The 15767-nt window shown below is 40.5% G+C and overlaps 1 annotated feature.

Annotated features, from left to right (window-relative positions):
• Nucleotides 261-310: a silencer, noted in NCBI's record as "silent region_12089". NCBI's record gives its function as "represses an Ori minimal core promoter by ATAC-STARR-seq in GM12878 lymphoblastoid cells {active_cell/tissue: GM12878}" and the evidence as "EXISTENCE:reporter gene assay evidence [ECO:0000049][PMID:35858748]".

A 15767-nucleotide genomic window follows, 5' to 3' on the forward strand; every position in this document is an offset into this window, starting at 1 on the left:
AGCCAGCAATCAGCATCACGCAGAAAAACAGCAGGGATCTGGAAATGAGATTTCTGAAAGTCAGGAAGTTGGCAGTTGAGTCAGAGCTGCAGAACCAGCTGGAATAAGAACCTTTAGCTATCAGTACCAAGTAACAAAGCAGCAAGGAAGAGCTCACTAAAGGGACCATGGAGAGTTTTTTTCATTGTTTTTTTTTTTTAAATGAAGGGACTCAGAAATAAAAAACTTTGCTTAATTATTGTTACAGCCAGCCAGAGATTCGAAACAGCAGAGTCATAAAGAGAAATGTCTCATGAAGGTTATTCTCTCATGCAGACAAGTGCACTTGAATTTGTAGTCAGACACTTCTGCTTTTGAGCTTGTTTCTGTCAACCAGACTTTCCACACTTTCTTCTTAATGACTGGAACTTCTGACTTTCCCAAGCTTTTCCATGAGAAGTTGGGTCTCTCAGTCAGTTCAAGCAGAAAAAAAAAAGAAAAGTTTAACAATGAGGCAAAGTTGGAAGTATAATTTCAGGCGTTCTAATCTTCAGCACACACTTAAATTCCTGTCCTCCTCTGGAATTGCTAACAGAATGCGTCAGTTTAATTGCTCAAAGAATGTGTCAGTTAAAGCTTAGCTTAACTATAGTTCTGAAGTTGAGCTGCTCTGGTTCTCAAGATGCCCTAAGCAAAGAAAAGTACAGAATTTTGCAGAGGCAAAGAAGTGGTACGGAAAAGTCTCAGAAACAAGCCAGCTCTTCCTGGAAAGAAAAATCACTGGGTCTCTCGGTGGCCAACAGCAGAACTCCAGCTTTTTATTTGAGACTCACAGCCTTCAAAGCAGCACGTGTGATAGAGAGCACCCATTATGGACATCCGACGACCTGGGTTCAGACCCACATTTGCCCCTCTGAGATAGTGGTGATGGTGGACTCTTGATTCAGGCAGTCTGGATTCAAGGGGCAAGTCTGATATTTTCTTATTGTTGACCATGAGCAACTTAGTTCACCTCTTTGTGCATCAGTTTCCTTATCTATAAAACGAGATGATAAGCATATCTACCTTATAGAGTTGTTGTGAAGATTAAATGAATTCCTACTGCATGTGTAAAACGTCTGGAACCATACCTAGCTCATTGTAAGTGCTATATAAACGTTTGCTGTTATTATATACTAACTAGGTACTAGGATAATTTACCTGTCTGGTTTCAGCTTCCTTAGCTGTAAAGCTAGAGTGCTGGTTCTCAAAATGTGGTCTGGAGACCTCTAGCATCAAAATAACCTAGAGTATCAGTTTAAATAAAATCTCTTAGAGCATGGCCTGGAAAGGAGCTTATAAAAATGCTTTCAAAGTCATTCTTATGCATGTTTATCTAATCATAGGAGAACCCACATAATTAAATGAGCGTTGAGTTCATTCTAACTGTTGGCATTGAGTTGCTTTGGGAAGAAGAGAGAAATTATGCCCTGAGAGGCACAAGCACTGACCCTCTGACAAGAGAATGGAAAGCCGAGCCTGAGCTGTAGACAGGCAGTGCCCATCTCAGCAGTGAGTGGGAATCATGGCCTGGAGATGGGTGAGTCGCCTTTTTCATAAATGTCCATGGACTGCTCATGGAATGACCTGATAAAATTCTCCTTCCCAGTTGTATGGACTGAGAGTGAGCCCTTGAATCTTTGTGGCAATAAACAAAAAAAGTAACTTGTTGGAAGTTGGAACTAACTTCTCTGTCTTCTGTGCTCCCATTCACATTATTTCTATCCTATTATAATTCACATCCTACTGTATCACAGTGAAGTACTATGTGTATCTCCTCCTGAAACTATGAGCTTCTTAAATATAGAGGGAATACCTATATTCCCTCATCATTGGATTCCTCTCTTCCTCCTCCTTTGCCCTAACATTTAGCACAGTGATTTGCATGTGGTCGTTCTTTAGTAAGTGTTTGTTGAATGAATCAGCAGAAGACCCTGTTTGAACTGAGTCACTGGGATGGTGTTTACAAGTCTGTGATCCCAGGCAATGTACACTGTAATCGATGAGACCCACAGAAACAAAGGCAGTGGAAAAATCCTGCCTCCATCACAAAGGCCTTTGCAGTATTAATACAGTGGAAGATATAAATCTTAATTAGTAGCAGGAAAAAGTGATGATGTATCAAGGTTCTCAAAATGTCAGCTGGTGGCTGCTCAATCCATTCATTTATAGCTGCTAACCATAGCACTGTGATACTGAAACCAATACTGCTAATTAAAGGTGTAATGACAATCAGCCAGCTCACTGTTAATTGATTCTTAATACTTCAATTACTTGTTTTTATGCCAGTCGAATTTAATCAAAGGAGGTCAGAGAGTCATACAAGGCTTATAATTTTTAAATGATTTGCATACATTAACTTTTATGGGCATCATTTTCAAAAGTCAAGTGAAAAGATACCTATATTCATATATACTTTACTTGCTCATTAAAACTTTTGGAAAATAAAGTTAATCCATGATGACAAATAGATATAAATATTTCAACAACAAGGGGGAAATTTTGTTACACCTTAGACTTTGGTTCTATATTCTGTTTCTTTATCCTCTGCTGGAAAATAACCCCTGGATTTTTAATAACTTAAGGAAAACTTTCACTTGGGGCCCATTCTCCATCATCTTATTTTTCGCTTCTTGTTGTTGACAAGTTTTGAGGGGAAAGTGGTTTACAGATCCTCTGTAACCCTTACAATGTGGCTTCTGCCTCCTTTGCATATTTGAAAGCCACCATTAGCCTTTACCAGCTTAACTCAAATGGCCTTTTCACGGTCCTCGGTTGTCTTGTAGACTTTAATACTATCGACCACTCTTTCTTTGAAACTCTGCCTTCCTTGGCTAGGATCTCCACTAACCACTCCATCAGAAATATTTTCCAGAAGGAATTAAAATAGCCTGCAAGATAGGCAGGGAATATAAGCATGGAGGCTTACTGGGCTGCAGGAGGCAAGGAAACCCTGGGACAAGAAGTGGTGGCTCCTTCTCAGGAAAAGCTCAATGACCAGCAGGTCAGAACACCCAGACCAAGAGGGATTGGAAAATTCTACTCCAATTCTAGGCCTGTGTTCGTATTGAAGGGGGCAGGCTGGGAGCACATCTCTGGGAGGGTGGGATGCAGATTTTAGGTGCAGAACAATGCTGTGTTGAGTCAAGTCCTTTAAAGAGAGGACCACCAGGGATCCGGTCCACCCTTGGAAATAGGATTGGCAGGAGAGAGAGAAAGCAGACCCCAGGTGGCTGTCTGGGGCACAGGTCTGGGCTTTTCCTGGGTGGTGGAGGTGAGACAGCTCCTCATCTGGAGTTGACTGGAGATTCCCCATGTGGTGTAGATGATATGCACAAAGCCACTTTGCCAAACTCCTCTTTTGACATTTGGGTGTTTTAAAAAAAAAACCACTGTTTGCCAGCTTATACCCACAGTTTGCAGACGGCATCCATGACTACGAGAGGCTGGGGAGGGAAAGAAACTCCCATAATCCCTCTCGGTCTCTTTTCCCATTCAGTCTCCATCCATCTTCCCCAACCCTGATAGTCTCTGGCGATCTCTTGGTGATCTCACCTCTCATAACACCAGCTGGGGAGGCAATGAGCTGTGAGGATTGAGGCCTTCAGAGTTAGGCAGACCCAGGCTGGAAAAGCTGCCTCTTACTCATCCTTCCTAAGCCAGTTTTCTCATCTTTAAATGGCCTTGTTGGGTTGTTGTGAGAATTATATAAAATAAAGCATGCGAAGAGCCCAGCACAGTGGCAGTCACATTGCTGTTTTCCTGATTATTTCAAGCTCTGCCTTCTCTCCATCCCCAAATCCAAATTGTCTAGCCATGAACTCATGTCCAGGCTCTGGGTTCCACACCTCCAGTGGCTTAAAGACATTGAATGGAAGGCTTTCTCCTGTCAGACACTGTGCCAGACTCTTGATTTACATCACCTCAGCTATTGGAATTGTTCCCATTAGAGATGGAGAAGAGGCACAGAGAGATTGTGAAACTTTCCCAAAGCCACACAGCCAGATTCAAACTGAGATTTGTCTGACTTCAAGGAGCTCATACTTTTTGGGTCAAAATTTGGACTCATTATCCCTGAGTAGACCTGCTCCTCACCAGGGGAAGCATAAAAATTAAAAATTCCAAGTCCCTTTGAATTTTCCTTTCTTATCACCCCTAGCCCCACTCCCTATCCCCTCTCCCTTGCTGTCCTCCCCCACTCATATCTAACCAGTCATTATATTATCTATTCCTATTCCTTATTCCTCCAGTGTCCTTCTCCCCTCCTTCCACCATCACCCTGACTCAGTTCTCAAGCCCTGGGTGGGGACTCCTGACCTGCTTCCAGGAGGCACATTCTGCCCTGGTCTTCTTTGTAGGGTATAACATGGTGCTGAGCAGGACAGACCTGGGAGCCTGACTGCTGGCTGCAAATACTGGTTCCATCCCTTATTAATGGTGTGGCCATAGGCAAGTTACTGTAACCACTCTGTGCATTAGCTTCCTAATACCTACCTCAAAGGGGTGTCATGAAGATGAATTGAGTTAATCTTTAAAAAGCACTTGGAACTGCATCTGGAACACAGTAAGCAGTATATACAAATAAACCAATTGCAACCAGACCCCTGGTCCCAAAATGACAATTTTATTTGAGATTCTCTTAAGAAACTTCTAAACCCCAAAGAACTGAAGTCCAGGGTTGTGCCAAAACATCCACCCAGGCTGATCCCACTGCCTCCTGGAGAGCCCCTATGCTGGTTCTCTTGTTTGCTTTCTAGATTCTTGATTTAAGCCTCACATTCCTGCTTCTCAGCTGTGCAGCCCTCTCCTGTGACTCTCAGTCAGCTTGCAGGACCCCTTCAGGACTTCCTCCTCCAGGCAGTCTCCCCAGCCCACAGTGATGACCCCTGCTTGAGACTGGGAGTTTCTTGCACTTATTATTTTGTACTTAATTGCAACCTGCCACGTGATATTTGTTATATCGCTTTTTTTTTTTTTTTTGACATGGAGTTTTGCTCTTGTTGCCCAGGCTGGAGTGCAATGATGTGATCTTGGTTCACTGCAACCTCCGCCTCCTGGGTTCAAGTGATTCTCCTGCCTCAGCCTCCCAAGTAGCTGGGACTACAGGCATGCGTCAGCCTGCTCAGCTAATTTTGTATTTTTAGTAGAGATGGGGTTTCACCATGTTGGTCAGGCTGGTCTCCAACTCCTGACCTCAGGTGATCCACCCACCTCGGCCTCCCAAAGTGCTGGGATTACAGGTGTGAGCCACAGTGCCTGGCCCATAATGCATTCTTATACATTTTTATTTAACTTGTAACAATACTTATGCTTTGTCTACACAACTTAATTATAAGCTTCATGCCAGTAGAGACTTTTCCTTTTGCCTCTTTGTTTTCTCCACCGTGTCTAGGATAATATTTTGCACATGAGATACGTTCCCTAAACATTTGCCAATTGAATCATAAACCACTTTAAAACAAAAATAGCTGACATGAGGCTAAATATAACAAAATTAAGTGTTACTTGGTTTCTTAGTTTCATTTTGCAAATTTTTGTTTCATTTTGAAAGTTTGGAAGTCTTTAATTAGAAATGCATTTATCCTACATGGTACTTTGAAACCAAAGATGTTAGAGTGACACCACTTTATTGTTTTCTTGAAGTGTTAAGTGATGTGTAAATAGAATATTGTTTGACTAATTTTTTTTTACATTTGTATATTTTAAGGTATGGGGAGGGTGGTTTTTGAAATACGGCTAAAAGTCAAGTGAGAAGAATATACATTATCACCTAATTTAATTTTAAGATTAGACTGAAGCACAAGAAACCTCAGCATCATTTAGTTCTCCTTCATGTTGTATGGAACCAGTAATCTAATACCTATCCTGAGAATCTGTCGGCTTCTCTCTTTCTTTTCTCGCCCTACTCTAGTAATTATTTTAACTTTCAATATCCCTTCACGAGTAGGTTTTTGTCATTTTGAGATACCCCCACATCTTTTCAATCAAAAGGCAGAGTGGGAGGAGAGGAGGAAAAAGAGGAGGAAAGAAGTACAGCTATTTTTTATGTCTAGCACAACTCTCTAATATTGCAGACAGGAACCAAGTACTTTACTGGTGCATGTCATTTATTCAGTCTTCTTAATCTTCTCTTTGTAGTGAAAAATCCTAGATTCTTGAGCTTTTCTCAGAACGTATTTATGACTTTAATCATCCGGGTTGCTCTCTTTGGAACCTTTTCCAGTTTCACAATAAAAACAATTTAACAGAGTTTCTGAGCCCTAGTGTTTTTTCTTTAGAAAAAGAGCACTTGCTTCACTGGAATTTATCCTCCTTCCCTTTCTTCCCCACTTCTTCACTTTCTTTTTAGTGTAAAGCTGAATTATACGAGAATTAAAGAAGTCATTTGCTTCTGTTCATTCTTGATCTGTGTGTGTGTGTGTGTGTGTGCGTGTGTACAGTCTTAGCTCAAAAGAACAAACTTTAGCCAATAAGTTAAGCCAATAGTGAGAAATATCTCAACTCCCCTCCTGGACTGGGGCTTGAGGCTCTTGGAGCCTTGCCTGATGGAGAAATTTGAATGAGCTTATGGTGAAAACATGGCTTACAGTATGTGGATCCTAAAGCCCTTTCACCCCATCTCCTCTAGTGAACCAATGTTGTTTTTGCCCACTCAACATCCTTTCTCCTTTCCTCTGGGAGAGGAAGGCGCAGGAGTCCCATTTCCCATGGGGAGTCCTTGTGGCTTGACTGGGGCAGACACTGCTCACATCTCACAGGAGTAGGCAGTGACTCCAGCCTGGCCAATCAGAGAGCTCCATTTCCCAATTCGCAGTGATTGGTTCAGGGCTAGACACATGACCAAAGCCAGATCAGTTGGAGTTTTCCTTGGGACACTTCTTTTTGTGCTGTTCTGCCAGTGGAGGGGACTAACTTTATGGATTAGCAATCTTGGGTTGCTGTGGCCACCTTGTTTCTCAGGTGGAGAGAGCCTGTTAGAAAGATGGGGAGAGAGAGAGAGAGAGAGAGCGCTCTGATGAAATCCTGTGAGTGATGCCTGAAGTCAGTCAGTATAGCCCTGGACATGTCTGAAATATGAGTCAAGAAACCACCTTTGGAAAAAAAAAAAAAAAAAAAAGCTGGTTTGAGACATGTTTTTGTCACTTATACACAGTTTCTGACTAATACACTTGTCATTTTATAATGAGGACATTGAGCCACAGAGTGGTGAAGCGTCTGCCATAGCCTCCTAATTAGAATTTTTGCTGCCATGTTGGCATTATCCCATTTCCTTCACTTTCAGCCCACCACTCCCCTTTTCCCTGTGATGCCAGAATGCTCTTTCTAAACCTCGTACGTGGTTGTCTAATTGAGCTCTTTTTTTTTTTTTTTCTTTTGAGGCAAAGTCGCTCAGTCACCCAGGCTAGAGTGCAATGACATGATCTCGGCTCACTGCAACTTCCGCCTCCCAGGTTCAAGTGATTCTCGTGCCTCGGCCTCCCCAGTAGCTGGGATTACAGGTGCCTACCACCACACCTGGGTAATTTTTATATTTTAAGTAGAGGCGGCGTTTCACCATGTTGGCCAGTCTGATCTCGAAGTCCTGACCTCGAGTGATCCATCCACCTCAGCCTCCCAAAGTGCTGGGATTACAGGCATGAGCCACCATGCCTGGCCTGATTGAGCTCTTTATGATAAAACTCTTTGATGACTCTCCAGTTGCGTATGCTGAATACAGCTGAAGCTTCCCAGCATGGCATACGTGATCTCACAGTCAGGTCTCTGTCCCACACGACTGCCTCTGCTTCTCCTTGGTATTTATGCTCCAGCTATTCTAAAATACTTAAGGTTCCCCAAACATGCCATGCCATTTTAAACTGCTTTCTTTTGCCACCTAGAATTCCCTCTGTCCGGAATGCTCTTCGTGTTCTATGCTAATTTTGAGCTTTTTATTTGTCCTTCAAAATTAATCCAGTTAAAACAAAAGTCAACCCAGTCATCATCCCTCTCCCTGAAGGAGCTTAGAAACTAACAGTAATTCAAGTGACTTCCTTGAGATGACTTGGCTGGTAGTCAGAACTGGAACCCAAGTCTCCTGACTTCCAGCCCATTGCTCTCCTACTGCCCTATGATAGATTTAACCTGGAAAAGATCCAGTGGACGCTTATTTCTCCTCTGTTTATGCAAGTACATCAGTTGCACTGGATCACCCTTATTCCCCACCCTGGCATCTCGATGGCAGCAGCAGACTTCGTTGTACAGAATTTTAAATGTGCCACCAATTATGTGCTGTCTTTCAGGTTGTGCTAATAGCATAAAATGTACGATGCTGAATGTGTTTCTCTAATCTATTCATGTATAATGGTAGCTCCCGGCTCTTAGCATCTGGCCTGCTAACTGCATAGTAAATAATAGTAAACATGCTGCAAGTCTTAATGAACTACTTGTCTAAAATTATTTCTGTAAAATCAGAATACTATTGTTGCTATCAATAAAAACAGCCATTGTGGACGGGTGCCTGGGCCCCACTCTGGCCCAATTAAATAAGAATTGCTGAGGGTGAAGCCAGGCCTTGTGATTGTGAAAGCTTCTGTGGTGATTCCAATGTACAGTCAGGGTTGAGAATCACTGGGCTCATCAGTTCCTCCTTGAGAGGAGGCCTAAGCAGGATTGACAAAAGTTTTAAGCTATGGAACCAAAATAAGGTCATAAGGGGAAGATGTGACATTTTAAAAGAGTTATAAAATATATTTACTTTTTGGCTGATTTGGGGCACACTGCCTAGGAGTTAGGCCATCTCTGGAAAGATATTTTTTAGAAAAGAAAAAATAATTATACATGTATATATGTATATATATGTGTGTATATATATGTATATATGTGTGTGTGTGTATATAGATATGTACTTTTTAATTGCTAAAGCTAGATGTTGTCTGTATACTAAACATCATTTTCTTTGTTTCTGTATTTTTTCCTCATTAAAATATCATTATAAAGTGCTGCCTTATTGCCAGGAAAACAGAGAGGAGTTCACCTAGTTAGCTTAACCTTTCCTGGAGACTTTGTTCTACTTGATCACACTTTGTGTTCCTAACTCTCCTCATTCCTGCAGTGGTGAGAATACAAAAAAATTCTACAAAATGCTCTGTTGGCTTCTTTCCCCTCTTCCCTTTGCCTCTCCAGGGTAGCACTGGTCTGTACATTGTATCTAAATGCACTAACTGAACCCGTTTTGTTTTTACATTTAACTCCTCGTAAGTGATAGATATCTTCTCTAGTTAAAGCAATCTGTACAATATTTAAAAGTTTACAGTTTTAACAAAATCATCCTTGCTTAGTTTTGCTTTGTGCCTGGTATACACAACATCAGGCTCAGGATATTCAGAGTTCATATATGCCTTGGCAAGTGGTAGCAGGGCTTTCCTGGCTTTGGGGATCAGGTATGGAAATCCAAACTCCTCAAAATGTGTTCTGTGCTTCTGAATGCTGTTTTATTGTTTTACTCTCTCTGCAAACATCCTACGAGTCTTTTACTTTTTTTTTTTTTTTTTTTTTTGAGACAGAGTCTTGCTCTGTTGCCCAGGCTGGAGTGCGGTGGTGCAATCTTTGGCTTACTGCAACCTCTGCCTCCTGGGCTCAAGCGATCCTCCTGCCTCAGGCCCCCAAGTAGCTGGGATTACAGGTGCATGCCACCACACCTGGCTAACTTTTTGTATTTTTAGTAGAGATGGGGTTTCACCATGTTGGCCAGGCTGGTCTCGAACTCCTGACCTCAAGTGATACACCTGCCTTGGCCTCCCAAAGTGCTGGGATGACAGGTGTGAGCCCCGTACCTGGTCATGATACAAGTCTTAATGAACTACTTGTATAAAATCATCTCCTTTCCTTTTGACTGGGAGTAGAAGTCCTATTTTATATGAGGAGCCCATTCCATATGGCTTGAGCAGGGCAGCCCCTGCCCTTATCTCATAGGAGGAGGATTTGACTTAGACCTGGACAATCAGAGAGCTCCATTTCTCCATTCATAATGATCTTTGTGATTCATAAGGAACTCTGGTCATAGTGATTCATAGTGAACTCTGGTTCAGAGTTTCCTGTGTCCACCTCTTCACTTTTCTTTTACGGTGGAGAAATTGATTCCTGCACTTCCCACCCATGGAACTCAGTGCCCAAGCCATGGCAATATGTCAAACGAGAAACACATCCATGAATCCCTCCACAATGAGTTATGAATGAAATAAAACAGACATAGCCCATGTTCTAGTGTCTGTAGAGAATGAAACAGAAGTTCATTTTAAAGTGATACTAAATTCACAGTAGCTTGTGCTATATGTTTTTCAATACCAGATAGTGAAAGTAAGCCTCTGTTATGGTAAGAGGTGGGGTAAAAAAAAAAAAAAGCATACATTTTTTGGCTTTGAAAAATGAGTCTTTCTCTGGAAATGGTGGGAACCATTGTTGTGCATAAAGACACTGGTGCAGTGGTGTTCCTTATACTCTCCCTTTACAGGCCACACAATGATGAGTTTAGAGCAGGGCTTCTGAATTTGAGGGACACAACATACTCCCCTCAAACACAAGGGCTCATTGCCACAGTGATCCTCAACTAGTGCTCTGCATGCTCCTAAGGAGAATAATTGGAATCTAAGGGTGGCCTGGGACATCGTGGTAGGCATAGATGACTGGAAAAGAGTCACCATGGTGATGTTTATATCTCTATCCCTGTTCAGAATGTCGGAGAATGTGATTTGAGACCTGAACCGTAATTGCTACTTAATGGCAAAACCAAGAGAGTAAAACAGCTCAGGTACTGTTTAGTTCCTGCTCCTTGTTTTGCCTAACCCACTGTTCCTTCCTTCATTTGTTCATCAAAATTTTGCTGAGTGCCTCTTATGGGCCAGATACTGTACTACTAGGCAATGGGGTTATAAAGGGAGCAAGACAGACAAGGTTAATATCAAAAAGAGATCTTGTATAATGGAGACGTTACTGCGAATGAAGAAGCCTGAGAAAGCGCTTTTGAACAGGAGAGTTCGTTAGCTGCAGGATATGGTAGTCAGGTGAACAATGTGTTTTCCAGGAACCACTACGACTTTCTCCAAATGGCTTTGTTTTACAGATTTTTCTCCCAACTCTGACACCTATTTTTATCCTTGAAAAGGGAATTTTACTTGCAATGTAAAAGAAAAAAATGGTCTTGGGGTTATTTCCATCTCAAATAGAATTTGCTTTCACAATACAAAATAGTTTTTAAAAATAACTTAAACATTCTGAAATTACGTTAAATTATAAAATTTCAAACTTATGGAAAAGAGCATAAAGTTTAAATTTAAAATGAAAGGAGATCTTATGACCCATCAATTCTATTCCTAGGTATTACATCAATTCTATTCCTAGGTATTATATGCAAGAGAAAGAAAACATTTGCCCACACACACAAAAAAATACTTTGTGCAAGACTGTTCATAGTAGCTCTGTTCATAATAGACCCAAAGTGGAAACAACTCAGATGTCCATGACCAGGAGAATAGATAAGCTGTGACAGATCCATAAAAGGAATACTACTTAGCAAAACAAACAACAACCACAAAATAACTACTCTAAATATAACAACATGGATCCATATCAAAATATGCTGAATGAAGTTCAGGCTTCAGTGAGCCATGATTGCGCCACTGTACTCCAGCCTGGGCAACACAAATGATACTTTGTCTCAATTAAAACAAAAACAAAAAACCCCTACATGCCACATAATTCCACTTATGGAATTTTGAAACTGGTAAAATTAACCTGTGGTGATAGAACTCTGATCAGTGGTTTCTTCTGAGGGAAGTGGGAATTGTCTGGGAATGGGAACAGGGGACTTTTCTGGAGTGGTGAAAATATTTTGCCTCTTCATATGCATTTGGCAAAATTAAATTGAATGGTATATGTAAGATCTGAACACTTCACTCTCAGGAAAGTATGCTTTAACTAAAAAATAACACAGAGATATTTTATAAATACAGTATGTTTCTGTCCCTTTCCCTATTAGCTTGAGAGTTCCTTGAGGCTAAGAAACATTGTCTTATTTGTTCTTTATTCTCTTTTAATTTCAACATCTACCACAGAGTAAAGATAAAATACATGTTTGTTGAATGAGGAAGAAATAATATTATCCTATACTGATGTAGTGCTTTCACATTTATAACCTTATTTAATCCCTGTAGTAACTCTGTAAGTTTACAGCTGAAGCCCAGAAAGGTGACCACCTGAGGTCACACAGCAGGGACTGGTATGGGTCTCCTGCTATCATAATCATCTAACTCCAAATCTCATGCTATTTCCATGACATCCCAATTGATGACATTTGAATAATTATCTGTATTTTTTTCTTCAATTTTGTCAACATATATTACATATCTATAACTTCAAATTTTTAAAGAATTTAACAGTTATTTGGAGTTAGAAACTTGGCATTGTCCTTTAATATGCATTCCACCATAACGTGTCATTTTCTTTAGACTTCAGACATGATTTGGCAGCTCCTGGCTATAAGTATCTCACCTGAGAGGTAACTGAGAATCAGAGATAAAGAGAAATCCTTTCTGTTGTCTTGAATCAGGTTGCCATTTAAGCTACTGAAGCAGCCCTGCTAATGTTCAATGGTGTTGGCTGACAAAGAAAGGCCACCAGTCTACTGTCTGTCTTGAACATTCTGGGTCAGAGAAATTCTCTTTTCACTGAATTCAATGGTGTTTAACCTCATGTCAATATCGTGAAAATCAGTAGGTAGTTGGCATTAATGCTACAGTACCCATTTAACGGGCAAGTGAAGGAAACTGACTCACATTTATTCCACACCTACTGTGGATTTATGTTTGTTCTCCCCTTTAACCCTTACAACAACAAAATGAAGTAGGCATTCTGGCCCCGCTTTAGAGGTGACAAAACTGAGGCTCAGGGGGTTTGAGTCTATTGGCTAAGGTCACATAGCTAGAAAGTGGCCAAAGCCAGGATTCAAACACTGTCTCCCTCACTCCCCAAATGTGTGCCATCCACCCCTCATATGCTACCTCTTCAGGATACTACACGGTGCTAAACGCCAGTTTCAGAAGGTTGGTTGGGAGAATAACGGCCTTGAAAGATGTCTATGTCCTAATCCCTGGAATCTGTGTTACCTTACGTGGCAAAAAAGACTTTATAGATGTGATTAAATTGAGGATCTTGAGTTGGGGAAGTTACTCTGCATTATCTGGGTAGGCTCTAGGTAATCACAAGGGGCCTTATAAGTGAAAGAGGGAAGCGGGAGAGTCAGGGGTCAAGGTCAGGGAGAAGTTTGAAGATGCTATACTGCTGGCTTTGAAGGTGGAGAAGGGGCAGCCTCTACAAAGTGCAAAAGTCAAAGAAACAGGTTCTCCACTAAATCCTCCAGAAGGAATGCAGCCCTGCTGACACCTTGAATTTAGTACAGTAAGACCTGTTTCAGATGTCCAATTCAGAACTGTAAGGTAATAAATTTGTGTTGTTTTAAGCTATGAAATTTGTGTTAACTTACAGCAGCAATAGGAAACAAGTACAGAGGAATAGCAGTTAACTAATACAGAAAGCATCTTCTTTTGGAATTTCAAAGAAGCAAATTTAATTCTCTCTTTTCATAACTTGTGTCTTGATTAGGAATCCTTATGGTCAATACCAAATTAAAATGTGCTTGTATTATGAGTCTTAGTACTGTAAGAGAAATCCAACATTGTCAAGGCTTTTGTAGAGTAATGGTAATAATTAAACATAACAATAACAATGCATTAAAATTCATAGAGACCCAAATAATGTGGAAATTTGCTACTTTCTCCACTATTGTGGACATTATCTGACATGCCATCTTAATTTATAATATTTATTACATTTATTCATCATTCATTTAATAATAATCAGGTATAATTATGCAGCTATAAGGTAAATGTGTAGGGGTATACATTAGTATATAGGTAAATAGACATATCATAAATTCTACAGGGCCTTAGGTTCTGACAGACAGATTTTCCATTTTCAGTATTAGTTCACTTGCCATCTTTGAATTAGGTGAATACATAAATGTTTAAAAGTTTACCAGGTATCTGATTACAAGAGATTATAAATAATTCAATACAGAAAATTACCCCTTTAGAGTTGATAGAAGTGGCAAGTAATATAAATTTTATAATATAAATGATAAATTTTAATCTTATACTATAAGTTGCTTTGATGATTAATCTTTTTTTCAAAAAAAGAATTAGAACTCCTACCAGAGAAAAACACTCTGACAGCTATTAGATCTTATAAAAGGTTGATTTATTTCTTTTTTATCAGTTTAATTTTGAAACTTAGGAAAAAAATCTTGATGCTAAAAGATATGGAAAATCATTCCATGCAGTATAAGATGACCCAGTCAGAACTCAGTCTCAATCAAATTGCAAAGCTGCTCATTTATCATTAGAATTGCTTAGCCAGGGACCTAAAAGTAGGTCCTGCAGGGTGTGTGAGGGGCAGTTTAGGGCCTAGATTAAATGCAAAATTAAATTTATATCTGATTTGGCCTAAGAGTGCTATTTTAAGAGTCTGGTAATCTAGATGAGCTCTTTGAGCCTCTTTTTCTTAAGGACATGTTCTCTGAATTCTCTTCCATTGCTAAAATGTTATCTGTTCCCAAATCATCCTGGGACTTTTCCCCCTCATAGTAGTCTTAATATAATTATCAACTAACAATGTACTCAATCTATTTAATGTTTGCTGATGGAGCGTATTGGCATATTTTAAAACTTTTGCTACATTTGGTTGAGGAATATGAGTAAACAAAACACAGAGGACTTGTCTAAGTGCCATTGCGTGAATTGCAAAAAGCTGTACAACTTGGTGAGCAAATGTGCCTTTGTGATCATTAGAAAAAATTGCCCTTTTCTCTGGGCGGATGAAGCCCCACACTAGAGCACATGTGTTGGTGAACAGAGCATGGGCTAGATTACAGCTTCTGCATCTGTCCTTGGCTAGGTAAATTTGGGCAGGCATAACCTCTCTGACTGTACTCAGCAACTCAGTCACCACTTTGTCATCTACTTGTGGAAATAGCACATCTACTCTACATTCAGTTCTTAAAATTGCTTCTAATGGTGCATTGTTGATTCCTCTAATGAAATCAGAGGAACTAGGATATTTTCATTCTTAACAACCCTTGTGAGGAAATCACCATATGGCTGTTTGCAAACTGTTTTGTTTTGTCAAGTTTGTTTTTAAATATCCAAAGTGCTTATGAATTTCACAAGTCTTGCATATAAAAGGGAGGTTGCTAAATCTTATCTATTCATCTAGCAAACATGTTTTGAAAACTATTGTCAAGAACTAGGAGATCAGCAGTGGATGGTAAATAGACAGCCACCATCCCTGCCTGCATGGAGAAATAGTCCAGGGTCGGGGGGGATTAGTAAAACAGGGATCCTGATAAAGAAGTCTTATTCCTGCTAATATCAGGGCTTACTGAGCAGGAGTTGTTGGGGCAGTGGTGCAGATGGTTGCCAAGGGAACCTTTCCCAGTTGAAAAGTAACAGGTGTGGGCCTGGGTGTGCAGACGTGCATATCGTCATGTTGCATATCGTCATGTTTAGCCTTTCTATCCTGTCTCAGAAAGAAAAGGAAGCTGGAGGCTTCCCCTTGAAGGGACTGGATAGGCAGTTAGAGAGTGCCAGAGGTACTTAGGAAAATTAAGAAGGCTAATTAATTGGTTTCCTGAGCCAGCATAGCATAGCGTCTCTGAAGCT

The sequence above is a fragment of the Homo sapiens genome, chromosome 2, assembly GCF_000001405.40.
Source record: "Homo sapiens chromosome 2, GRCh38.p14 Primary Assembly".
NCBI classification, from domain to species: Eukaryota; Metazoa; Chordata; class Mammalia; order Primates; family Hominidae; genus Homo; species Homo sapiens.